The sequence below is a fragment of the Homo sapiens genome, chromosome 15, assembly GCF_000001405.40.
Source record: "Homo sapiens chromosome 15, GRCh38.p14 Primary Assembly".
NCBI classification, from domain to species: domain Eukaryota; kingdom Metazoa; phylum Chordata; class Mammalia; order Primates; family Hominidae; genus Homo; species Homo sapiens.
In genome coordinates this window covers 29,392,693-29,419,359 of record NC_000015.10, presented here as the reverse complement: position 1 = coordinate 29,419,359, position 26,667 = coordinate 29,392,693, and the positions used below count along the sequence as shown (strand labels likewise).

Below are 26,667 nucleotides of genomic sequence, written 5' to 3'. Positions count from 1 at the left end.
TCTGTTGAGTTACTCATTTTAGATGTTGTATTTTTTAGTTTTATATTTTCTCTTTGATTATTAATTTTTACCAATTATAGTTATCTGGTGAAATTCTTCTTTTCATTTATTTTATTCATCTTTTTCTCTGTTTTCTTGGGCGTAATAACTATAATTGTTTTGAAGTCAGCCAGCTAACTTTATTGTCCAGATTATCTGGTGTTCATCACCTTCATTGAAGCAAGGACTGTGCTGACTCAGAGCTGGTTTGCAGCCCTGGTAAGCTTCAGTCTTGCTGTTGTTTGTCCTTGCCTTTTAGGGTTTTCAAATGAGAGTCTTCTATATTTGTCACAGCCCCTCTCTCTTGTGTTTCCTAATTACAATTTTTATTTTGAGGCTGCCTTCCAGTGGCTTTTTGTTAAAATTTAAGTCTCTTACCCTCAGAATTGGAAAGCTATCCCAGGGGAAAACCCAACCATGTGCTTGGACCCCAAGTCTCCAACCATAGCCCTGCTGGGGTTTCCCCCAGAACTGGCTTTCAGCAGGTGCATAGCCAGAGTTCTCAGGCTGCTGCTTGTGCCCAGAATTGGAACACTTCTAGGATAAAAGAAGCTTCAGAGTTTAGCTCCCTTCTTGGAGGGAGGTTCATTCCTCTCTCAAGCCTGTTTGAATTTTGTCACTCTCAGCCATTTTCAGAGAGTTGATTTCCATATTTTATTGAGCTTTTCCTGTTGTTCTTACTGGGGACACTGATGAGCTGCTAACTACTCCATCCGACCTGGAAGCGAAAGACCTGTGCAACCACGAACTGCCTTTTAGAATTGTGAATAAGACATATAACTGTATTCCCCTAGCTGCCCTAGCCTATTTATATAGCACCTTCGGGTAGGTGGGATCTGGCATGCCAACACAAATTCTAAGTCATGGTGCCTGGAATACTGTGTTAGAAGGATTCTAAGATGGCTTCTGTACTCTGCACGGAGGGTGTGGTGATAGATGAGCCTTGTCCTTCTGGGTCGAGGAAGGGAGTTGCCACCTGTTTGCCACTCCTGTGTTAGTTAAATGCTACCACTTTACTACTTTCTAGATATCTGGATAAAGCCCTTAAAGAAAAGGAAAGCATATTGCATTAAATGCTAATGCATTTGTACATGGGGAGAGCTGGTAAGCAGGGGGTGCTGGATAAAAGGTTTGGTTTTTAATAGTGCTGATATTAATGTTTTGATAAAATACTGGGCTCCTTGTGCATTTGTAGTTTCTGATGTGCATAACTTAGACTTCACAGTGGACTCCATGATAGTGGGTCTTTAAAACACATTTGCTGTAAATTCTGAACAAATGACCTCAATCATTATTCTAAAATGTTCTAAATGGCTTCTATTCTTACAGTTGTTAATATGCAGCATATTATTCCATTCTGATATTTTGCTGAGCAAAACATAATTGCTTTGTGGAATGTAGCTCTACTGATGGTGTGATCAAATGTTAAAAACAGAACTGTAGAGTTTTCCAGAAAATGCAATTAAAGAAGCAGTGAATGCCCATGACTCCACTCCTGTTCATAACTATACTTTTCAGACCAGATCTGTTAGAGAAAATCAAATCTTGATTTGAGATGATTTATATGGAAAATAGCCATGAATTATATTTGCAAGATACATACATATATATTTCAGCCACATCAACATTTCTTTTTTTACGTAGATTATTATTATTATTATTTTAAATTTTATTATTATTATACTTTAAGTTTTAGGGTACCTGTGCACAACGTGCAGGTTTGTTACATATGTATACATGTGCCATGTTGGTGTGCTGCACCCATTAACTCGTCATTCAGCATTAGATATATCTCCTAATGCTATCTCTCTCTGCTCCCCTAACCCCACAGCAGTCCCCGGTGTGTGATGTTCCCCTTACTGTGTCCATGTGTTCTCATTGTTCAATTCCCACCTGAGTGAGAACATGCGGTGTTTGGTTTTTTGTCCTTGCGATAGTTTGCTGAGAATGATGGTTTCCAGCTTCATCCATGTCCCTACAAAGGACAAGAACTCATCATTTTTTATGGCTGCATAGTATTCCATGGTGTATATGTGCCACATTTTCTTAATCCAGTCTATCATTGTTGGATATTTGGGTTGGTTCCAAGTCTTTACTATTGTGAATAGTGCTGCAGTAAACATACGTGTGCATGTGTCTTTATAGCAGCATGATTTATAATCCTTTGGGTATATACCCAGTAATGGGATGGCTGGGTCAAATAGTATTTCTAGTTCTAGATCCCTGAGGAATAGCCACACTGACTTCCACAATGGTTGAACTGGTTTACAGTCCCACTAACAGTGAAAGAGTGTTCCTATTTCTCCACACCCTCTCCAGCACCTGTTGTTTCCTGACTTTTTAATGATCGCCATCCTAACTGGTGTGAGATGGTATCTCATTGTGGTTTTGATTTGCATTTCTCTGATGGCCAGTGATGATGAGCAATTTTTCATGTGTTTTCTGGCTGCATAAATGTCTTTTGAGAAGTGTCTGTTCATATCCTTTGCCCACTTGTTGATGGGGTTGTTTGTTTTCTTCTTGTAAATTTGTTGGAGTTCATTGTAGATTCTGGATATGAGCCCTTTGTCAGATGAGTAGATTGCAAAAATTTTCTCCCATTCTGTAGGTTGCCTGTTCACTCTGATGGTAGTTTCTTTTGCCGTGCAGAAGCTCTTTAGTTTAATTAGATCCCATTTGTCAATTTTGGCTTTTGTTGCCATTGCTTTTGGTGTTTTAGACATGAAGTCTTTGCCCATGCCTATGTCCTGAATGGTATTGCCTAGGTTTTCTTCTAGGGTTTTTATGGTTTTAGGTCTAACATGTAAGTCTTTAATCCACCTTGAATTAATTTTTGTATAAGGTGTAAGGAAGAGATCCAGTTTCAGCTTTCTGCATATGACTAGCCAGTTTTCCCAACACCATTTATTAAATAGGGAATCCTTTCCCCATTTCTCGTTTTTGTCAGGTTAGTCAAAGATCAGATGGTTGTAGATACGCGGCATTATTTCTGAGGGCTCTGTTGTATTCCATTGGTCTATATCTCTGTTTTGGTACCAGTACCATGCTGTTTTGGTTACTGTAGCCTTGTAGTATAGTTTGAAGTCAGGTAGCGTGATGCCTCCAGCTTTGTTCTTTTGGCTTAGGATTGACTTGGCAATGCAGGCTCTTTTTTGGTTCCATATGAACTTTAAAGTAGTTTTTTCCAATTCTGTGAAGAAAGCCATTGGTAGCTTGATGGGGATGGCATTGAATCTATAAATTACCTTGGGCATTATGGCCATTTTCACGATACTGATTCTTCCTACCCATGAGCATGGAATGTTCTTCCATTTGTTTGTATCCTCTTTTATTTCATTGAGCAGTGGCTTGTAGTTGTCCTTGAAGAGGTCCTTCACATCCCTTGTAAGTTGGATTTCTAGGTATTTTATTCTCTTTGAAGCAGTTGTGAATGGGAGTTCACTCATGATTTGGCTGTCTGTCTGTTATTGGTGTATAAGAATGCTTGTGATTTTTGCACATTGATTTTGTATCCTGAGACTTTGCTGAAGTTGCTTATCAGCTTAAGGAGATTGTGGGCTGAGACGACGGGGTTTTCTAGATATACAATCATGTCATCTGCAAACAGGGACAATTTGACTTCCTCTTTTCCTAATTGAATGCCGTTTATCTCCTTCTCCTGCCTGACTGCCCTGGCCAGAACTTCCAACACTATGTTGAATAGGAGTGGTGAGAGAGGGCATCCCTGTCTTATGCCAGTTTTCAAAGGGAATGCTTCCAGTTTTTGCCCATTCAGTATGATATTGGCTGTGGGTTTGTCATAGATAGCTCTTATTATTTTGAGATACATCCCATCAATACCTAATTTATTGAGAGTTTTTAGCATGAAGGGTTGTTGAATTCTGTCAAAGGCCTTTTCTGCATCTATTGAGATAATCGTGGTTTTTGTCTTTGGTTCTGTTTATATGCTGGATTACGTTTATTGATTTTCACTTGTTGAACCAGCCTTGCATCCCAGGGATGAAGCCCACTTGATCATGGTGGATAAGCTTTTTGATGTGCTGCTGGATTCGGTTTGCCAGTATTTTATTGAGGATTTTTGCATCAATGTTCATCAGGGATATTGGTGTAAAATTCTCTTTTTTTGTTGTGTCTCTGCCAGACTTTGTATCAGGATGATGCTGGCCTCATAAAATGAGTTAGGGGGGATTCACTGTTTTTCTGTTGATTGGAATAGTTTCAGAAGGAATGGTACCAGCTCCTCCTTGTACCTCTGGTAGAATTCGGCTGTGAATCCATCTGGTCCTGGACTTTTTTTGGTTGGTAAGCTATTAATTATTGCCTCAATTTCAGAGCCTGTTATTATTTGTCTATTCAGAGATTCAACTTCTTCCTGGTTTAGTCTTGGGAGGGTGTATGTGTCGAGGAATTTATCCATTTCTTCTAGATTTTCTAGTTTATTTGTGTAGAGGTGTTTATAGTATTCTCTGATGGTAGTTTGTATTTCTGTGGGATCGGTGGTGATATCCCCTTTATCATTTTTTATTGCATCTATTTGATTCTTCTCTCTTTTCTTCTTTATTAGTCTTGCTAGCAGTCTGTCAATTTTGTTGATCTTTTCAGAAAACCAGCTCCTGGATTCATTGATTTTTTGAAGGGTTTTTGTGTCTCTATCTCCTTCAGTTCTGCTCTGATCTTAGTTATTTCTTGCCTTCTGCTAGCTTTTGAATGTGTTTGCTCTTGCTTCTCTAGTTCTTTTAATTGTGATGTTAGGGTGTCAATTTTAGGTCTTTCCTGCTTTCTCTTGTGGGCATTTAGTGCTATAAATTTCCCTCTACACACTGCTTTGAATGTGTCCCAGAGATTCTGGTATGTTGTATCTTTGTTCTCGTTGGTTTCAAAGAACATCTTTATTTCTGCCTTCATTTCGTGATGTACCCAGTAGTCATTCAGGAGCAGGTTGTTCAGTTTCCATGTAGTTGAGTGGTTTTGAGTGAGTTTCTTAATCCTGAGTTCTAGTTTGATTGCATTATGGTCTGAGAGACGGTTCCTTATAATTTCTGTTCTTTTACATTTGCTGAGGAGTGCTTTACTTCCAACTATGTGGTCAATTTTGGAATAGGTGTGGTATGGTGCTGAAAAGAATATATATTCTGTTGATTTGGGGTGGAGAGTTCTGTAGATGTCTATTAGGTCCGCTTGGTGCAGAGCTGAGTCCAATTCCTGGATATCCTTGTTAACTTTCTGTCTCGTTGATCTGTCTAATGTTGACAGTGGGGTGTTAAAGTCTCCCATTATTATTGTGTGGGAGTCTAAGTCTCTTTGTAGGTCACTAAGGACTTGCTTTATGAATCTGGGTGCTCCTGTATTGGGTGCATATATATTTAGGATAGTTAGCTCTTCTTGTTGCATTGATCCCTTTACCATTATGTAATGACCTTCTTTGTCTCTTTTGATCTTTGTTGGTTTAAAGTCTGTTTTATTAGAGACCAGGATTGCAACCCCTGCCTTTTTTTGTTTTCCATTTGCTTGGTAGATCTTCCTCCATCCCTTTATTTTGAGCCTATGTGTGTCTCTCCTTACCCAGATTATTGAACATTTCCCTGGGACATTGTCATTTTAGGAAGTCCAGGCAAATTTCAAAGCTGTAAGAAAATTTGGTAGGAAGAGGGGAAGAGAGTTCACAAGCAAAATACCGTACGTATGTAGGGGTTGTGATGAATGAACCCTGGTCACAATGTAGTTTGGAAATTGTAGATTTTTGTGTAGTTGTTTGGGTGGGCAGATGTCAACCAAAAGAATATTGGCAGAGCCATTTTAATATCAGACAAAATCGACTTTCAGTCAAAAAGCCTTGTTAGAGAGAGGCTCATTACATATAACAAATAGGTACAATTTTATGCTTATATACTTTTGATTAAACCACTGCAAAGCGTATAAAGAAAAAACACATAAAAATGGAGGTAGAAATCGATCAATCTGTCATGAAAAGGAAATTTCAATACATATTGATTGTTGATCTATCAGACAGAAAATTAAAAATTATGTAATAACTTAAAGAACACAACCAGGTATAATTTACATATACTGAATTCTGCAGCTTTCAGAGATGTTCTCATGTAAACAGGGACTATCTTTAAGAAATTGATCTTGCAGTTTTTTAGTTTGTAGAGTAAATATCAAAACATTTCAAAGAATGAATATCAAGGAGATCACATTCTCTGACCACAATTTAATTAAGTTAGAAATAAATAACAAAAGGATAAATGACCCTAATATATTTGGAAATTAAAAAAAGATTTTAATAACTCATTAATCAAAGAAGAAATTGTAATGCAAATGAATAGCCTTAGGTACCTAGAAAGATTGACAATTGAAAATGAATGAAGTGATCAGATTTACTTAGAAAAAGAAGAATGAATAAATTTAAAGAACACAATACATAAGAATAGGAATGAAGTGATCAGATTTACTTAGAAAAAGAAGAATGAATAAATTTAAAGAACATAATACATAAGAATAGAAATTAACGAAATAGAATATAAGGCTGCAATAAAGAGGATAAACATAGCCAAAAGGTAGCTCCTTGAAAATTCTAACAAAATAGACAAATATGGTAAGAATGTGTAAGAACAAAAAAGAAGGTACAAATAACCATTATTATGAATGAAAAGGAAGATGTAATTACAGATACAGAAGAGATCAAAAAGTTGATGAGAGACTACACATTTGATAACTCAGATGTAATGGACAGATTTATAGAAAAACGTAACAGAACTTAAGTTATAGAAAAAATACATATACAAACTTAATAGAACTGTTTTATTCTTAATGAGGAAACATTGAAAGTATTCCCTTTAAAATCAGGAATAAGCCATCTACAATCAATTAGAAATAATGAGTTTGGCAAGGTGGTTAGCTAGAAGGTTAATATACCAAAAATCAATTGTATCTTTATACTTCAGCCACAGAGAGAAAATGTAAATTGTTTAAGGACATTATTTACAATAGCACAAAAATAAGGAACTTAGAACTATATCTAAGAAAAAATATGTAATTTGAATATGCAGAAAAGTGTAAAACTTTATTGAAAGACATTAAATAAAACCTAAATAAATGGAGGGATATACCATATTGAGAGAGCTAGTCTAAGCTAACTCAATACTGTGAAGATGGCTGTTTTTTTTTTCCAAATCAGATTCAATTGATTTCATTAAAAATCCTGACAAATGTTTTTGTTGGGAGGGTAAGACTTAACAACCTAATTGTAAAATTATATGACAGAGCCATAGGCCAAGGAAAGTCAAGAGGCTCCTGAAGAATTTGGGGGGAATTTATGCTACCACGTATAAGACTCATTTTTAAGCTATAGACAGTAAGTGTAGGTGCAAAGGAAGACAATGCAATCAGCAAAACATAAGATAGAGCCTGAAGCATATATGAAACGATGCAGGGCAGGCCAGGAGCAGAATTCAGGGAGTCTACCATAAATGGTTCTGGGATCATTGGCTATCCATGCAAGAGAATCAGTGTCAGGTGGTTTAAACACTTAACTGTGAAAGCAAAACATTGGAACTTTACAGAATAAAATGTAAGATGTAAGAAATTTGGAAAGAATTTTTTAAACAAGACAGAGAAACGCCAAAGCTGAAAAATATGTTTGAAAGGTAAGTACATTTAAACATTCTTTTTATTGAAAGACATCACGAAGAAAGCAAAAACACAACTGGAAGGAGATGCTTGCAATACACATAACTGATTATGATTTCATGTAGTGAACTCCCACAAATCAATAGGATAAAGGCACAAAACTCAATAGAAAAGTGGACAAAATGCTTACATAGGCATTTCATGGAAGTGGGCATATGTAGGGTCAATAAACGTGTCAACACATGCCCCAGTCAGCATGGACATGTAAAATTCAACTGTGGAGAGAAATCGTTTACACCTACTAGATTGGCCTCAATTAAGAAGTTTGACAATGCCAATTTGGACAGAATGTGGATCAGGAGAATTCTTGGTGGGAGTGGAAATGGGTGGGACCACTCTGGAATACAGTGGAATACAACTTGGCATTCTTTTCTATAGCTGAACATGCACACATACCGTGACCTGCAGTTCTACTCATAAGCATATACCTTGCAGAAACTCCTGCCCACGTGCACCAGGATAGTCATCAACGAATAGTACATGATAGCAAAAACTGGAAACAGTGCAGATGTTCATCAGCAGAAGAATGGGATATTAATAAATTATATAGGCCAGGCGCAGTGGCTCATGCCTGTAATCTCAGCAGTTTGGGAGGCTGAGGCGGCGGATCACCAGGTCAGGAATTCGAGACCAGCCTGACCAACATGGTGAAACCACGTCTCTACTAAAAATAAAAAAATTAGCTGGGCGCGGTGGCGCACGCCTGTAATCCCAGCTACTCGGGAGGCTGAGGCAGGAGAATTGCTTGAACCTGGGAGGCGGAGGTTGCAGTGAGCTGAGATTGTGCCACTGCACTCCAGCCTGGGCAACAGAGCAAGACTCCATCTCAAAAACAAACAAAATAAGTTCTGTGGTCTAACGAAATGGACTGTTGTTATACCACAGTGAAAGTGAATAAACTATAGCTGTGTGCAACAACATGATAAAGGAATCTTAGGAACGTGAATGTTCTTAGCCTGGATGACCCTGAAAGCAGACTGAGAGCAGGACTAGCAGGAATCTCTCTTGTTTGCGCAGAGCACAGTCAGGAAGGCAGAGGGAGGCAGGGAGGAAGGATAGCTAGTCCAAGTGTGTTACCCAGTTGGCTACGGCGGGTGATCGTGCTGGCTCCTGAGGGGACTGGAGTGCAGTTACCGAGCACATTTCAGGCTTGCCTCCCCGAGACCCGTCGCCTCAAGTCTCTGTTGCCCCAGGGCTGCTCCTGGGGCAGCCCTGCTCTGGCTTCCACCAGAGCAGCCCCTGCAGGGGAGTGAGACCTGCAGTGCAGGAGCCAATTAGTTCTCTGCCTGTGAGACCACATGAAAAAATACTATGTTTTTTCTATGACACTGTTTTTGTAAAGTGCAAAAACAAGCAACACCAAACACACTGTCTTGCGGAGATGAACTAAGTATGCCAGAAAAGTTTCAGAGAGAAAGGAAAGGAAATTATCAATGCAAATTCAAGAATGGGATTCCACAAGCATCTAGGTAGGGGACCTTATTTTCAGCAAAGCAAACATACAAACAAAGAGACAGGCCTTAGAGTTCTCTGCTATGATAAAGCAGAGGGCAGGCACGCAGCATCTGCAGTGATTGAGGGGAAAGTCTGTGAATCCAGACCTGCGCTAGGGCGACCTGCTCTTCAGACGTGATGATAGCTGAGCAGGCGAGCAGTCCATATTGGTCCTGGGAGCCCTGAAGATATGCTCAGGTATCGGGGGCTTTGGGGACCCTCACAGGAGTCTCGTGAAGATGTCATTCAACGTTTGAGCTATTAAGTTAGCAGCTTGAGTTGGTGGAATCATGGCTAAGCAGAACTAATGCAGAACACTGAAACTAGTTATAACTGGAAAGTGGAAATTTAAAAAACATCGAAAGACACAGAATATAGCCAGGCGAGGTGGCTCATGCCTGAAGTCCCAGCTACTCGGAGGTTGTGGCAGGAGGATCACTTGAGCCAGGGTGTTCAAGACCAGCCTGGGTAACACGGTGAGACCCTGTCTTTAAAAAAAAAAAAAGAAAAATAGGCCGGGCACGGTGGCTCATGCCTGTAATCCCAGCACTTTGTGAGGCCAAGGTGGGCAGATCACTTGAGGTCAGGAGTTCGAGACCAGCCTGGCCAACATGGTGAAACCTGTCTCTACTAAAAATACAAAAATTAGCCGGGTGTGGTGGCAGCTACTTGTAATCCCAGCTACTCAGGAGGCTGAGGCATGAGAATTGCTTGAACTCAGGAGGTGGAGGTTGCAGTGAGCCGAGATTGCCTGGGCAACAAAGCGAGACTCCATCTCCAAAAAAAAAAGAAAAATTAATTTTTATAAAGGAAAAAAGATACTGAGTATAATATGAAAACAATGTAATATGAGTTTGAATCTAAAATTCTAGATTATACTAGCAAAGAAAGAGATGTGGGATGTGTGAAGGGATGAAACCATAATTGTATTAAAACCCTTGCCTACCCTGAAAACCGGAGACATGTGGGTTAAAGAACAAGCTGAAAATTTAAAGCTACTTAACAAAATTACAACCATGTAGGCACATAACAAATTCCTAAGCATTGGAAGCTAGTTTGAACAAATTAACTGCAAGAAGTTATTCTGGGGACAATCTGGGAAATTTGAATAGGAATTGGGTATGAAATCATACAAAGATGATCTATTAATAATTAGTATATTTTAGATGTGTTAATGGCCTCACAGGTTATATAGAAAAATGTCCTTGTATTTTAGGTATGCATATTGAAAAACTTAAAATGTCATGGTTTGTAATTTATCTTGAAAAGCAAAGAAAAAGAGATGAAGCAAATATAGTAAAATTGTTAACGTGACAGGCTAAGTAGATGGATTGAACATTCTTATTTTTGTACTTTTCTATTTGAAAAATTTCAGAATATAAAGTTTAAAAATCATCAAAGGCTTGAAAGATGAAATTGGGGGAAATCTCTCAGAAAACTGAACAACAACAAAAAAAGACCAGGAAGTTGGAAATAGGGAAGACAGTAAATGAGAGGGTCAGCCAGAGAATATAAATAGGCTTTGCAGAGACCAAAGGAAGTAGAATCATCATTGCAAAATGATACAGGAGTTATTCTCAGAACTGAAAGGAGATTGCAGATTCAGATCAGTTTCTCATACTTCACCCAGTGAATAAAAACAAAGACCGTCTCACCATTGTAGAGTCCTGTATATCCCCATCAGGAACCGGCATCCATCCCACCAGGGCGTTCCTCCTTTTGGGATCTGTTACCCCTACAAGCCCAGGATTTCCCAGCTCCTGAGCCCACACTTTCCCACCTTATTTTTCTTCATTCTGTGTAACATGCCATGTGGTTTCACTCTTATTTTTGTGTCTCCCTCCTCTGCTGCTCCCCAGGATGTCATGAGGGAGGCACTATGCATGTCTTTTTTTTAAACTGCTGGATCCCCTGTGCCTAGAACAGTGCCTGGTAAACAGCTGGTCCTTGCCAGTATCTGCTGATGAATCAGACCACTCTGGAGCCACCATGGAGATCAGCACATATTAGATCGTTGCCTAAAAAGTTCTGAGACAAAATAATCTGCAACCTAAAATTTCTGTCCTTACATGTTAAACGTGTAGGGTCCCTCAGATTTCACCTACTGTAAATCCTTTCTCTGAAAGTTAGTGGAGGATATGGTCTATCAAAAAATGTGGGCCAGGTGCAGTGGCTCAGGCCTGTAATCCCAGCACTTTGGGAGGCCGAGGTGGGTGGATCACCTGGAGGTCAGGAGTTCGAGACCAGCCTGGCCAACATGGTGAAACGCTATCTCCATTAAAAATGCAAAAAAAACCCCAAAAAATTAGTGGGGTGTGCTGGTGGGTGCCTGTAGTCCCAGCTACTCGGGAGGCTGCGGCAGGAGAATCGCTTGATTGGGAGGTGTATGTTGCAGTGAGCGGAGATCGAGCCACTGCACTCCAGCATGGGTGACAGAGAGACTCGGGCTCCCCCCAACCCAAAAAAATGGGGAGCAAACCACTCTGGTTTGCTGAGATATGTCCTTCTTGGACCCAGGTCACCTGCTCCCTCCTTACCTGGCTGTGCCCTGGCCTGGTGCACTATGGCTCCTAGGGACTTCCCTGGGTCTTCGACTCCCCTTCGCCTCTCTCCTGGGCTAGAGCCTCTGTTTTCTTGAGCCCATGTCTTCTCTTTTCTTGGTTTGCTCCCTCATTTTTTGATAGACTTCATGTGCTCATACATGGTGAGGGAGACCTCAGGGCTGTTGGAGAGCTAGGATGAATTTTTGATAGATATACAGTCGTACACCACACACCAACGCTTCCCTCAATGACGGACTGTGTATACAATGGTGGTCCCATGAGATTCTAATACCATGTTTTTACTGTACCGTTATTATGTTGAGATGTGTTAAATACAAAGTACTCACCATTGTATTACAGTTGCCTACAGTGTTCAGGACAGTAACATGCTGCCCAGTTTTGTAGCCTGGGAGCAGTAGGCCGTACCATACAGCCTAGGTATGTAGTGGGCTTCGCCATCTAGGTTTGTGTAAGTGCATTCTGTGAGGTTCACACAATGATGGACTCACCTAAGGGCGCACTTCTCAGAACATAGCTCCGTTGTTAAATCATGTGTGACTGTGTAGAAGATGTAAGTGAAAAATGAGGCAATTAACCCCAGTTACATATTGTGATGTGATTTTTTTTAAAGGCACTGTAATTGTAGTACTCCTTGTGGCTCAGTTATGGGTGACATTTTACGTAGTCATAATAATGCCAATACTGAATGCTGAAATATCAAAAGGTGGGTTGTTGCTATATTTGGATTGGGAAAGTGAGGAGGAGAGGGAGAGCGAGTGTGTGCATTTGGCTGTGTCTGCTGTGTGTTGGAGGGGAAAGTGAGAATCCTCAATTTTCATAGTCAGAAGTCAGTCAAAGCATCAAGTTTAGAAATGTGAAAGTAAACTGAAGAAACAAGCAAAACTATTTGTTGTAAGTGGCAGCTTCTCTACAGAACAATTTTGACTTCAGATTGTGTAAGAATGACTAGATCAGAAAAAATGAAATACTTTTAAAAATATATTCATATATTTAATATATTTTTTAATATTCTTTTTTTTAATTTTTGAAACAGAGTTTCGCTCTGTCGCCCAGGCTGGAGTGCAGTGGCATGATCTTGGCTCACTGCAACCTTTGCCTCCCAGGTTCAAGTGATTCTCTTACCTCAGCCATCCGAGTAGCTGAGATTACAGGCACCTGCTATGATGCTTGACTAATTTTTTGTATTTTTAGTAGAGATGCGGTTTCGCCATGTTGGCCAAACTGGTCTTGAACTCCTGGCCTCAAGTGATCCACCCGCCTTGGCCTCCCAAAGTGCTGGGATTACAGGCTTATGTTTATCTTTTCATAAGCTTGTTAAAAAATATATTTTTCACATACGTTTGTGATTCCAAATGTTTATAGAATAATAGGTCATGAGTATTTTGTATTTTTATACAATGGAGTCCCATTCAGCCATTAAGGTGATGTCAGTGAATACCTACAGGGTGTGCCATCATGATCATGACACATTATATGGTAATGTGGAAAGGTTATTGACAACATGATGACCCAATTTTTATAAAAACCGATTTAAATAGAACCCAGCCACATGTTAACAGGAGTTAGAGGAGAAGCCGTGTGAATGTAGATGGTTTCATTATTTCCTTCAGCTTATCTGCCTTTCCTAACTTGTTCTATATTGAACTTGCATTGTTTTGGTTATAAAATAAAGGGGAAAAGTCAGCACACTGCCCCTCAGGACCGTGCTGCCTCCGTGGGGCTGTGAAGCTGGTCAGGAGCATGGGCACAAAGTCTCCCGCCCGGAGGTGGGCGCTGGCCAACCTTGTGCGTGCCGACAGCCTTCACTCTCATGTGTGCCATGGCACCAGGCCCTTGCTCCGGTGGGCACTGTGCAGATGAAACAAGCGTGCTCTGGGCCCCCAGGACCTGCTGAGCAGCCAAAGGCAGGTGCATGAGTGAGCGGCACTGTGGGGTGCTGGTGCCGTAGCCCCGTGGTCCTGTAGCTGTTTGCTACCCAGTCTGGGTAATTAGCTGTTTGGGGGTTGAGGGGGAGGCAGAGGTGACCCCACCCATGGAGTGACCTGGATGAAGCAGGAAGGGTAGGCAGGGACCTTCTGAGCTGGAAGATGTGGGACTTACTCCAAGGGATAAAGAAAGCCCCTAAAGGGCACAGTGTCATTGAGTGGGGCGAGTGACATGGTCAGATTTTTTTTTTTTTTTTCTGGAGACGGAGTCTTGCTCTGTCACCCAGGCTGGAGTGCAATGGTGCAATCTTGGCTCACTGCAACCTCCACCTCCCAGGTTCAAACGATTCACCTGCCTCAGCCTCCTGAGTAGCTGGGATTACAGGCATATGCCACCATGCCTGGCTAATTTTTATAGTTTTAGTAGAGGCAGGGTTTCACCATGTTGGCCAGGCTGGTCTCGAACTCCTGACCTCAGGTGATCTGCCCGCCTCGGCCTCCCAAAGTGCTGGGATTACAGGTGTGAGCCACCACGCCCAGCCAGGTTTGCATTTTAAAAAGATGATTCTGCAGTGTGGAAAACAGGTTAGAAGTGACCAGGAGTCCAGGCAGGGAGGGCTTTGTAGGGCTCTTACAGTAGCTCTCCTGCCAGGTGGCAGCCAGGTACCAGGTGGAGGGAGGAACTGGGGGCCGGGGCCCAGGGTGAGCTGGTCAGTAGATGTCCCTGATTTGGATGGATTTGAGAGTGAGATTGGGTGGGGGAGGGACGTGGGGTATCTGGGACCCTGACAGGCACATCTGGGTGAGTGGGGCCTCCTGTGGAGGTAGGGCAGGCTCCAGGAGCACTGGCTGTATTGAGTTAGGCTGCTGGGGAGGCATCCGTCATGTTTCCATCAGGCCAGTGGGTGGACACAGGGATCTGGGAGGAAGAGAGGCTGAGAGAGGCTTAGGGTACCCTGGAGGATGGAGCCAGGGAGGGAACAGGCTCTCCCAGGATAGATACTGCGAGGAGGGGAGGGGAGGTATGGGGAGATGATGGGCCGAGGGAGCCCTTACTAACGAGCAGCTGGGGAGTGTGAGTGGGGGAGGAAGCAAGGGGGCGGCCAAGGCAGGAGGGTGTTCCTTCTGCAAAGCAGGAGTAAGATCAGTGTCAGCCTGCTGGGTGCTGAAGGGGGTTCCTGGGACTCAGCGACCCAGAACTGACCAGACAGGGGAGTTCTGCCTGTGCCAGTGAGGGGAAAGGGGAGCAGGACTGGGGAGTGGAGACGGCTATTACAAGGGTGCTGGGACCACTTAGTCAGATGGGGGGGTTCCCTTCATGTCACCAGCATGGCACGAGTTGTCCATATCCCTACTGTGTTTGGGGATCCTAGAAGTGTCTAAACCCAGGGATGGACATAGGTGATGAGTGAGGGGCATAGACTGAGTCCCTTTCCCAGGGTGTGTCTTTTCACCGGGGCTATCATCAGCGGGAGTGGGCGGCACTGGATGTACTCCTGTGCCCTTGCAGGAATCCAGCCTCGTGCCCCCTTCCTCCCCTGTCCTGGTGGCCCTCTGCCTCCTCTCAGAACCTCGTGGGGACAGGAGATGGGCTCTGCACTCCAGTCTCTGTGGGTGGCGCTGCCTGGTGTGAGCAGAGATGGCAGGAGGGCCACCTGGGTGCAGTACCTGCAGCAGGGAGGAGGGAGAGCAGCCTGCGGGCCCTGCAGCGGCCAGCCAGGGGCAGCAGAGCAGAGCACAGCTCCCAGGCTGGGGCAGAGGGCTGAGAGTGTGCGGATTCAGGCAACCCTTTGGGGGTGCAACCAGGCTCCCTTCAGGGTACAACTGGGCTCTCTGGGCAAGAATTCCGAGAAGGGAGCCTGCTTTGGGGCTAAGTCAGGAATGGGAGCACAGCCTCTGGGTCTGAGAACAGGTTGGTCCTGGGAAAAACCAGGCAGAGGCACCTCTAGGGAACAGTCCTGGATTTGAGAGTTTGCATAAATAGTGTGCGGTTTATGACATTAGTACAGTGGCCTTTATTCATAATGATTTGGAAAAGAAAGAGCAATTTGTCTACCAGACAGCTTCAGTTCCTATTGTATAGTTCCAGTGGATTTAAAAGTTGATGTGAGTCTGTGAATTTGCTTGCATAATTATACTCTGATAGCTTTTCATTACACATAATGCAATTTTAATGGAATTAATGTTCTGTATCAACAAATACATTGTTTTTATTATTGTGCCATGAGGAGATTTCTAAAAGAAGAGAATAAAAGTCATTTGCAAATGGTTTATGTAATACTCTTTTTCAAGCAGGGCAATCTACCTTCCCACTTCATACTTTTTTCTGACAATGGGTTGAGAAAGGGAGGGGGGCAGAGGCTCTTGAATACGTTTGGGTCCTGGTTGGAATTTATTCTTGTAGCTTGCATTTATGTCTGAAATTCTCATTATTCTCTATCAAGGAGCAGCAGCCCACATAGAAGTGTACATGGCCACCTGGCTAACCACTTTCTGTGCAGATCAGGCCCCGTCCCTCCCCTACACACCTTGTTGGTCATCCTGCCACCTTGGACCCCGTCACTGTGCAGGGATTCTGGTTTGCTGCCTCTCACTCAGACTGGCCGCCATTGTTTCCAGAGCCTTTCCATACCTGTTCTGAAGCCATCGGCCCTCACATTGAAGTGGTGGAATTTGTCTGGCCCCGTCCACCTCTCCCGCCTGCTGATGGGAACATTAGAGGGAGTTAGTACCCACTGGCATGGGTTATGCCTCCTCACTTAGGAGGCAGAACCAGCTGTCGCTGGCTTGGGTTTTAATAGTGCGTTTTCTCTGTTGTGTATCAACCATGGGAAACAGAAAAATAAAGAGGAAGCCAAAATCTCACTGTCTGGAGATAACCATGGTAACTTTGAGATGCAGCTGCTGATTTTCTTTATGTATTTGTTTGCTTCTCAGAAGGGAAATTATGCACTTTCCACACCATTTTGCAACCTGCTTTTCCTTCTTCTTCTTTCACTTAGTGTGAACGTTTCTACATGGCATTAAATATTCTCCTGTGGCTGGGCACAGTGGTTCACACCTTTAATCTCAGCACTTTGGGAGGCCACAGCGAGGGGATCACTTGAGCCAGGAGTTCGAGACCAGCCTGGGCAACATAGTGAAACCCTCTCTCTACAAAAGATACAAAAATCAGCCGGGTGATGCATGCCTGTATTCCCTGCTATTCGGGAGGCCGAAATGGGAGGATCACTTGAGCATGGGAGGTGGAGGTCACAGTGAGCTGTGATCATGCCACTGCATTCTAGCCTGGGCTACAGAGGGAGACCTTGTCTCCAATATACATATATACACACACACACACACACACACACACAATACAATATACATATATATGTGTGTGTATATATATATATATTCTTCTATAATATGATTTAATGGCAGCAACTAGGAAGGACCCAATGAATATATGTAATTCCCTCTTGCTGCACACCTCGGTTGTTTCCAGTTTCCAAAATACATAATCCTTTGGTTAATACTGGGAATTCTTAGAAGTAGAATTCTAGGTTCAATGGTATGCAGAGTTTTAAATATGCTTAACATAATACATGCATGGATTAAAGGTTAATATTACAGAAAGTTACACATTTAAAAGCAAGTTCCCCCTCGCCTCCTCCTTAATCTAGTTTCCGATTGTTAGGTTTCTTGTGCGTCGTTCCAAGAGAGCAATGTTTATGTAGTAAATGCATTCATCCATTCCTTCTTGTTTACACAGAGATCCTTCAGTGCACACTGGGCTGTGTCTTGCTTGTCAGTTATTTATCTTCGAGATCATTCCACAGTGGCATAAATAGATCTACCTCAAACTTTATAATGCACATATTCATGTTCTATGTAAATACCGAAGTCTTTTTAACTAGCCCTTTATTGCTACTCACTGGTTCAGGTTTTTGTAGTAAACGTCCTTGTGTAAATAGGCTGGCCTGTTTCTGTTAGTATATCCACAGGTTAAATTCCCAGGATTGAAACCATTGAGTATGGGTATGTACAGTTTTTATTTTGAGAGATGCTATGAAATTGTTCCCAAGGAAGGCTACATCAAATTATGCCAACATAAGAAATGTTTAAGAGGAACTTTCTTTCCCCTCTGCCCTTTGCCATCACTGGGTTTTACCAAAACTTCACCAAAATGTTTCCAGTCTCGTTGAAAAAAATACTTATCTTATTGTTTTCACTTGCTTTAGAAAATTCAGTAGGTCTACGCATTCTGTTACATGTTTATTGTTCATTAAAAATCTAAACATCCTATTCATCGTATTCAGCCATTTTTTTCTGTTGTTTCTTTTATTAATTTATACGAGCTCTTTGTAAATTAAGAAAACCTTTTGTCTGTTTATGTATTATAAATATTTTTCCTATTTGAAACCAGCCTTTGGTTTTATGGGTTTTTTTTAACCATAAATGTGTTCATTGGCCCTTTTCAGAATAATGCTACATTAAAAACCACACCAAAATGCAGTGCTTGACAGTAGCGAGCCATTATTTTCTCCTCTGGGTTTGCAGGTCAGCTGGGGTGGCTCCACTTTGGGTTGCAAGCTTCTCATGGGGTTTGTGTCTGTGCCATCTGTCCATTCCGGGGCCCAGGCTTGAAGGGGCAGTGGCCACCTGGGCAAGGAGGAGGGCAAGAGGTAGCACGTAGTGCATCAGAAGGCCCGGGGCGATGGCATGTGCCACTTCCACTCACCACCAGGCATATCCCATGGCCAAGTTTATTCTGGGATGGGGACGGGACTCCACCCACTCTGCAGGAGCCTCCGACCTCACACGTCAAAGGCACAGACTTGTTCTTCTAATGCAGATGCAGAGAGGCCCTGGGATTGAGAACACAGATTCCTCCTACCACAAACAAATGTGGGTTTTTTTAGCCATAAACGTATACATTTTAAATTTATTAATTGTTTCTATTATGTCTTAAAATTGTGTGGTGCCTTAAAAGGCTTACTTCAAGATTCTTTTACAAATTTCTCAAATATTTATGTTTTAATTTATATTTTACTCTTTGATTTCTCTGGAATTTATTTTAATGTTGAAACGTAGAGATTAAGTTTCATTTCTTTCCAAGTGGCTAGCCAGTTGCCCTAGCACTTCTTATTGCGTAGATTTTCTTTTCCCCTTTTTGGTATTTTAATTAGAGTTGCATGGAACTTATACATTATTTAGTCTTTTTGTTTAAAAAATGAATTTCCCTCCCATCTAGTCATGAAGTCTTTTAGGTTCCCCAGTAGATGTTTAAGGATTCCTTGATATTGCTCCTGCTCACCTCTTATTAAATCTGTGTATTCTAAGATATTCTGCCTTTTTGCTTACCATTATAAATGGAATTTTTAATTGTATTCTCTTTTCTAACCAGTCTTTGCTTGCACATATGTAGGAAAGCTGTTTGTCTATAGTTTAAGAGCTTGTGTCCTAACCCTGCCCATCATTGTAACGTTGGGCAAGTCACTTAATCTCTTTGTGCTTTAATTTTCACATATGTGCACGGGCACAAGAGTCACACATACTAATTAGGGTTGTCAGGATAAAGTATAAAAACTTAGTAAGTATATCTGGCATATATTCAGGGCACAATAAATATTGATCCTGTTGACCTTGAACAACATGCGTTTAAACAGCATAGGTCCACTTATATGTGGATTTTCTTCCACCTCTGCCACCCTGAAATGGCAAGACTGAGCCCTCCTCTTCCTCCTCCTCCTCCTGAGCCTACTCAACAAGAAGATGACAAGGATGAAGGCCTTTATGATGATCCACTTCCACTTAATGAATAGTAAAATATATTTTCTCTTCCTTATGACTTTCTTAATAGCATTTTCTTTTCTCTTTATTGTAAGAATACAGCATATAGTACATACGACATCCAAAATGTGAATGTGTGTTAATCAACTGTTTATCTGATTGGTAAGACTTCCAGTCAACAGCAGACTATTACCAGTTAAGTTTTGGAGGAGTGAAAATGTTATACATAGATTTTTGACTGCACAGGAGGTTGGTGCCCCTAACACCCCTCTTGTTCAAGGGACAACTATATATAGTATTATAATTTTCAACATATTGATTTTGTAACCAGGTAACATACTGAATTTTCTTATGGTTTCTTATTCTTCTGAATCAATTCCTTTGGGTTTTCTAATTAGGTGATCACTTTATTTTCAAATAGTAATGATTTTGCTTCTTCTTTCCAATGTTTATAACTTTCTTTTATTTTTCCTTTTTAGTGTTATTAGCTAGATATATTAGTTTTCTATTGTTATGTGGCAAATTGCCACAAGCATAGCAGGTTCAAACAGCTCAACCTTATTATTTCAGAGTTTCTAAGGGTTGGGACTCTGGAGTGTTTTAATTGGGTCCTGTCCTCAGGGTCTGCAGGCTGAAATCCTGGTGAGGCTGGAAGCATCTTCATCCAAAAGCTTTACGAGGGAAAGATCCACTTCCAAACTCCTTCAGGTTGTTGGCAGAATTCATTTTGGGGGTTGTGTGACTCAGCCCTGCTTCCTTGCAAGCTGTGGGTGGGGAAGCTCTCAGCTCTTAGAGGCATCTCACCACATGGCAGCCCACTTCTTCAAGGCCAGCAGCACAACTTCTTACACCTCAAATTGGGACTTCACCAAGGGCCCAGAACCAAAGGTCTTGCCTGATTAGGTCAGGCACACCCAAGAGAACTTCCCTTTTGATGAACTCAACAGCAAACTGATTTGGGACCTCCCATCCACCATTGTCAGGCAGCGTAACCTAATCACATACATATTCACAGTCCCACCCACGGCCCAAGGGAGAGGATTACACAGGGCAGGTACACCAGGGAGTGGGGACCTTGGGGGCCATCTCATAATTCTGCATACCACACGAGTACTTTCAGAATCATTTTGTTTTATTTTATTTTATTTTTGAGACGGAGTCTCGCTCTGTCACCCAGGCTGGAGTGCAGTGGCGTGATCTTGGCTCATTGCAACCTCCGTTTCCCGGGTTCCAGTGATTCTCCTGCCTCAGCCTCCCGAGTAGCTGAGACTATAGCCATGTGCCACCACACTCAGCTGATTTTTGTATTTTTAGTAGAGACAGGATTTTACCATGTTGGCCAGGCTGGTCTAGGACTCCTGACCTCAAGTGATCCGCTAGCCTCGGCCTCCCAAAGTGCTGGCATTACAGGTGTGAGCCACTGCCCCCAGCCCTAAGAGTTCTTTTTTAAAAGAGAGGATGGAGATCAAATTCTATTGGACGTCTTCCATGCATCTACTGAATGAAAGAATTTTTCATTTTCGTCACATTAATATGCAGAACCATCTTTTCATTCCTGACGTGAACCCCCATGTTCTTCATTCTTTTAAATGTACTGCTGAATTCTGTTTTCTAACCTTTTATTTAAAAATGATGTACCAGTAAAATTATCATTTTAATGCACTGTCCTATGAGTTTTTGGCATTTAAATTTGTGTGTTTATATCTAGTATGTGTAGTAGATGAGGAATGCTAAGTTTTTGAGTCTCTGTCTTTCATGTTTGGTTTTGTTTGGATGTTGGCCCTTGAAGTCAGGGAGAACCTGCTTTGTGAGGGGAGGGAATAACTTAATGTAACTTTTGCCAAATAAATAATGAGGGGGAAGGAGTTAAATATCTGAAAGAGTCCAACAATGCCTGATACATGGGGGAAATTCATTAAATATTGATCCAGCACAGGAAAAATAAAATAAAAACAATGTACTTCTGTTTAAAAGCCACTGGTCTGTTCCTTATTTTTGTGATATTTTACAGGTTTGTGATTGTTACACTGACCTTTATAAAGACAATTTGGAAGTTCCCCCTTTTTTCCCTCTGTGCTCAGAAAAAATTTAAACAGCTTTGGAAATCTTCATACGTAGAAGTTTTTGAAGACTTTGCCTACAGCTGTTTGAGCATATTTCCAATTTCTTGGTGTTTATGGGAACAGTTAGTGTTTTGGTCTTTTGGGGAATCAATTGTAGTAATTTAGCAAGTTATCTTTGTCATCCTGGGTTTTGAATTTATTTGCATAGAGCCCATGCTTTGTTTATTATACTTTTTGCCAGTTGACAGCATCGCACCTCTTAATGATGTACATTCTCTACAGCCCTGTAAGTGAGGACCACTGTTCTTTCTAACCACTGCTAGCTTGACAGGCAGCAAGGGACCTCTTATTCCACTTTGCATTTTATTGATTACTTACTTATAAGGTGTTTTTCTGAGTAAATTTTTTTTTCCTTTTTTTAAGATGGAGTCTCACTCTGTCGCCCAGGCTGGAGTGCAGTGGCACAATCTCGGCTCACGGCAACCTCTGCCTCCTGGGTTCAAGACATTCTCCTACCTCAGCCTCCTGAGTAGCTGGGACTACAGGCACATACCACCATGTCTGGCTAATTGTTTGTATTTTTAGTGGAGACAGGTTTCACCATGTTGGCCAGGCTGTCCTCGAGCTCCTGACCTCAAGTGATCTGCCCACCTCGGCCTCCCAAAGTGTTGAGATTACAGGTGTGAGCCACCCACTGTGCCTGGCCTCTCAGTAAATTTTTTTGAGGAGCAGTTGCCTTTCTGTGAGTTTTAGCCAGTAACCTGGGTGGTTAATTATTTACATTTAATATTTTAATCATCTTGTAATGTATTTTGGTTTGTGGGAGGGAACTAATTTTAATTTCTCTATCTGCTTATTTATTTACATTTAACAATTATCCCAGAACCATTTATTGAATAGCCTTTTCCCCCATCAGTTACTATGTCACTCCTTGTATAACTGAATTATATAAATTAAATTGTAAAAACTAATTTAATGTGTTCACATGCAAAAAAAATGAAGTTGGACCCTTAACTAACATCCTATACAAAAATTAACTCAAAATGGATTAAAGACCTAAACATAAGAGCTAAAGTTATAAAACTCTTAGAAGGAAGCTTAGGGGAAAAGCTTTACAACCCTGGGCTTGGCAGTGATTTCTTGGATATGATGCCAAAGGCATAAGCAACAAAAGAAAAGTGGCAAACTGGACTTCATCAAAATTAAAAACTTGTGCATCAAAGGACACTATTAAGAGAGTAAACAGGCAACCCACAGAATGGGAAAAAGTACTGGAAAATCACATATTTCATCAGAAATTATTATCCAGAACATATAGAAAACTCCTAAAACTCAATAACAAAAAAGTAAAGAACACAATTCAAAAATGGGCAAAGGATTTTTGGCAACATGGATGAACCCAGAGGACATTATGCTAAGTGAAATTAGCCAGACACAGAAAGATGAATACTGAATAATCTCACTTGTCCGTAGACTCTAAAAAAAAAAAGTCAAACTCATGGTAACAGAGAGGAGAAGCGTAGTTGCCCGGGGCTGGGGGAGAGAGGGGAAAGGGGAGATGTTGGTCAAAGGGTATAAACTTTCAGTTATAAAAGAAATACATTCTGGAGACGTAATGTACAGCATAGTGACTATACTTAATAATAATGTGCTGTATATTTGAAATTTTCTGAAAGAGACTTCATATGTTCTTATCAAACACTCAGAAGAAATGGTAACTAGTGAGGTGATGGATATGGTTAGCTTGATTGTGGTAATCATTTCACAGTATATGTATACCAGAATCATGTTGTACATTTTATATACAGTTTTTATTTGTCAGTCATACCTCAATAAAGCTGGGAGGAAAGCTTCAAAGATAGGCAAAAGGCTTGACTAGGCCTTTCTCCACAGAAGAGATACAGATGGCTAATAAGCACATGAAAACATGCTCAACATCACTAATCCTTAAGGAGATGCAAATCAAAATCACAACAATGGCTGGCGTGGTGGCTCACACCTGTAATCCCAGCACTTTTCGAGGCCCAGGCAGGAGGATCGTTGGCACCCAAGAGTTCAAGACCAGCCTGGGCAACGTGGCGAAACCCCCATCTCTTGAGAAAAAAAAATACGAAAACTAGCTGGGTGTGGTGGCATGCACCTGTAGTCCCAACTACTCGGGAGGCTGAGCAGGGAGGATTGCTTGAGCCCAGGAGGTTGAAAGTGCAGTGAGCTGTGATCACGTCACTGCACTCCAGCCTAGGTGAGAGTGAGACCCTGTCTCAAAAAAAAAAAAAGAAAGAAAAAAGAGAAAAAATCAAAATGACTACCACTTCCTACCCATCAGAATGGCTATTATAAAAATAATAGCCATATGGTAATTCTATTTGTAATTATTGAGGAGGTTTATACTGTTTTCCACTCTGTATTATTACAAATAGAATTACCATATTTCACTTCTGGGTACATACCCAAAAGAATTGAAAGAAGGGTCTCAAAGACATATTTGCACACCTGTGTTCATAGAAGCATTATCCTCATAGCTAAAAGGTGGAAGCAACCCAAGCATCCATCTGTAGACGAGTGGCTCAACAGAATGAGGTCTATACGTACAGAATACTATTAGACTTACAAAGGAAGGAGAGGCCAGGCGCGGTGGCTCAGGCCTGTAATCCCAGCACTTTGGGAGGCCGAGGCGGGCGGATCACGAGATCAGGAGATCGAGACCATCCTGGCTAACATGGTGAAACCCCGTCTCTACTAAAAATACAAAAAAAAGTAGCCGGGCGTGGTGGTGGGCGCCTGTAGCCCAGCTACTCAGGAGGCTAAGGCAGGAGAATGGCATGAACCCAGGAGGCAGAGCTTGCAGTGAGCTGAGATCACACCACTGCACTCCGGCGTGGGCGACAGAACAAAACTGTCTCAAAAAAAAAAAAAAAAAAAAAAAAAGAGATTCTGACACATGCTACATATGGATGAACCTTGAAACCATTATCCTAAGTGATAGAAGCCTGTCACAAAAGGATAAAACTATGATTCCACTCATATAGAGACAGAAAGAAGAATGGTGGTTGTCAGGGGCTAGAGTGGGGGAGGGAATGGGGAATCGGTGTAAATTAATGGATACAAAGTTTTAATTTTGCAAGATGAAAGGTTTTCTGGAGATGGATGAGGGGAATGTTTGCACAAGGTGAATGGACTTAATGCTACTGAGTGTACACTTAAAAATGGTTAAATGGTAAATTTTATGTATGTACATTTTACCACAATCTAAAAAACAAATAATTTTTTAAAACCCTAATATATGCCTAAGTCTCTTTCTGGACATTATATTCTGTTCTTTACAGGTCTGTTTGTTCTTGAGCCACTTATAACTATTGTGGCTTTCTAAACTGTTTTTGTTCCTGGGAATTTTTAACTTAAAATAATGAAGGGATGAAAATTGTGTCCAGTAATACATAAACCTCTTTCCCTCCACATAGTTCAATGACATTGTTTCTTCTCTACTATCTGAAGGAAAAATTTTTCCTTCAGATAAATTTTTGAATCATTTTGTCAACCTTCAAAGAATCCCATTGGGATTTTGATAGAGATTTCACTAAATTAATTTATGAATATAGAGAAATTAACATTTTTATTATCTTTAGGTTTCCTCATTTGGGAACATGGTATATACGTCCATTTACTAAAAATCTTCCTTCCTATGTCTCAGTAGAGTCTTGTAGTTGCCTTTTAAAAAACCTTATACATTCATCATGAAGTTAATTCTTGGATAGTTTTTAATTTTTTTGCTTTTGTGAATGGAATCCTTGTCTTACAGTTTCTTACCAGCATGTAGGAAAGCTACTGAATTAGAAAGGCTTTGGATGGGAGTAATATTTTTTTCCAGGGGAAAATGGAGGGAAAGAATAATTTGGGATAACATTTTGTTTTTTTGAAAGTAAAGTGATTTGAGAAATATAGTTGCTGGGGCTAAAAGAGTAAATAAATAATAGGATATGTGGAATACTTTGGAATTTATAAAGAATTTTATTAGCTAAATAAAGTTTCATATTTTGATAACTTATAACATTTGTTAATTTAAAAAAAAATAAAAGTAGCCTCTATTCATTGCTTTATTGGTGTATTTATGGGACCAATAAAAACACCAGGAATGGGGGATTTCCTTCTGATTCTGGCATTTTGGCTGAGTAGGCACTTTGAAGGATGCTTCTCCTATAGAACAACTATACACTGCAAAAGACATGCTCCTTGATGCATTGCAGATCATCAAGGTCCACTGCCCTACTCCCAAACAAATAAATAATGAACTGAGGCCAGAGTGGCAGGTGGCTGGAGTCACAATGACAGGGAGCAGCGTCAGGCGGTATGTGGCTGGAGAAGGGACTTGCCCTGAGCATGAGTGTCCACCATAGCACTGCGGCTGAGCCTGGTGCCCACTGCAAGGTAGGGGCTTGGCCTGGGATTTCTACTGTGCTGTGAGCTGAGGCCCTTGAGCATCACAGTGTTTCCAAATCCTGGGTGCATTCCTGTTACTGGCAGAACTATGCCTCTCTAGGGAAAAGTTTTCCAACTTGGCTCCACAGAAGTTCACTGATGAACAGCAAGCAATGCATGCACAGTCAAACACTTCCAAGCGCTCAAGCATCAAAGAAAGCAAATCACAATGAGACAACAAAGGGCAAACTTTGATACCCTCCTGGGACAACATGTCTTGGAATCTAGAACATTAGTGTATGAAACATTTAAAGAAATTATCAACACAGTCATATAGATGAGCACACAACAAGGAACTATTTGAAATAAATAGTTACATTTGGAAATAAAAGAATTTCTAGATATTGAGATATAATCACTGAACTTTTCTAAACAAGTGCAGTTATATAGTTCAACAGCTGATTAGACACAGTGCAGAGACAATTGATGATCTGGAAGACACAGCTAAAGAAAGTAACCAGAATGAAGTCATGAATGACATGTGTGGGGAATATGTGGAAGAAAAACTAAGACATTTGGAGGATGGAATGTGAAGGACAAACATACAGCTACTGGAGTCCCTGGCAAAGAGAATAGCGAAGATACAATATCTGAAGAGATATTAGCTACAAAATTTCCAGAACGAATGAAAAATATAAATTC

General features: G+C 41.2%; 1 protein-coding gene across 7 annotated transcripts in view, besides 1 other annotated feature; it reads left to right on the top strand.

Moving 5' to 3' along the window:
- ENTREP2 (endosomal transmembrane epsin interactor 2) overlaps positions 1 to 26,667 on the top strand; it is a 557,698-nt gene that overhangs the window by 256,050 nt on the left and 274,981 nt on the right. The window lies entirely within an intron of this gene.
- Positions 11,379 to 11,570: a silencer, noted in NCBI's record as "fragment chr15:29699994-29700185 (GRCh37/hg19 assembly coordinates)". NCBI's record gives its function as "represses an EF-1alpha promoter that drives an FKBP-Casp9 reporter gene in an ReSE screen in K562 erythroleukemia cells {active_cell/tissue: K562}" and the evidence as "EXISTENCE:reporter gene assay evidence [ECO:0000049][PMID:32094911]".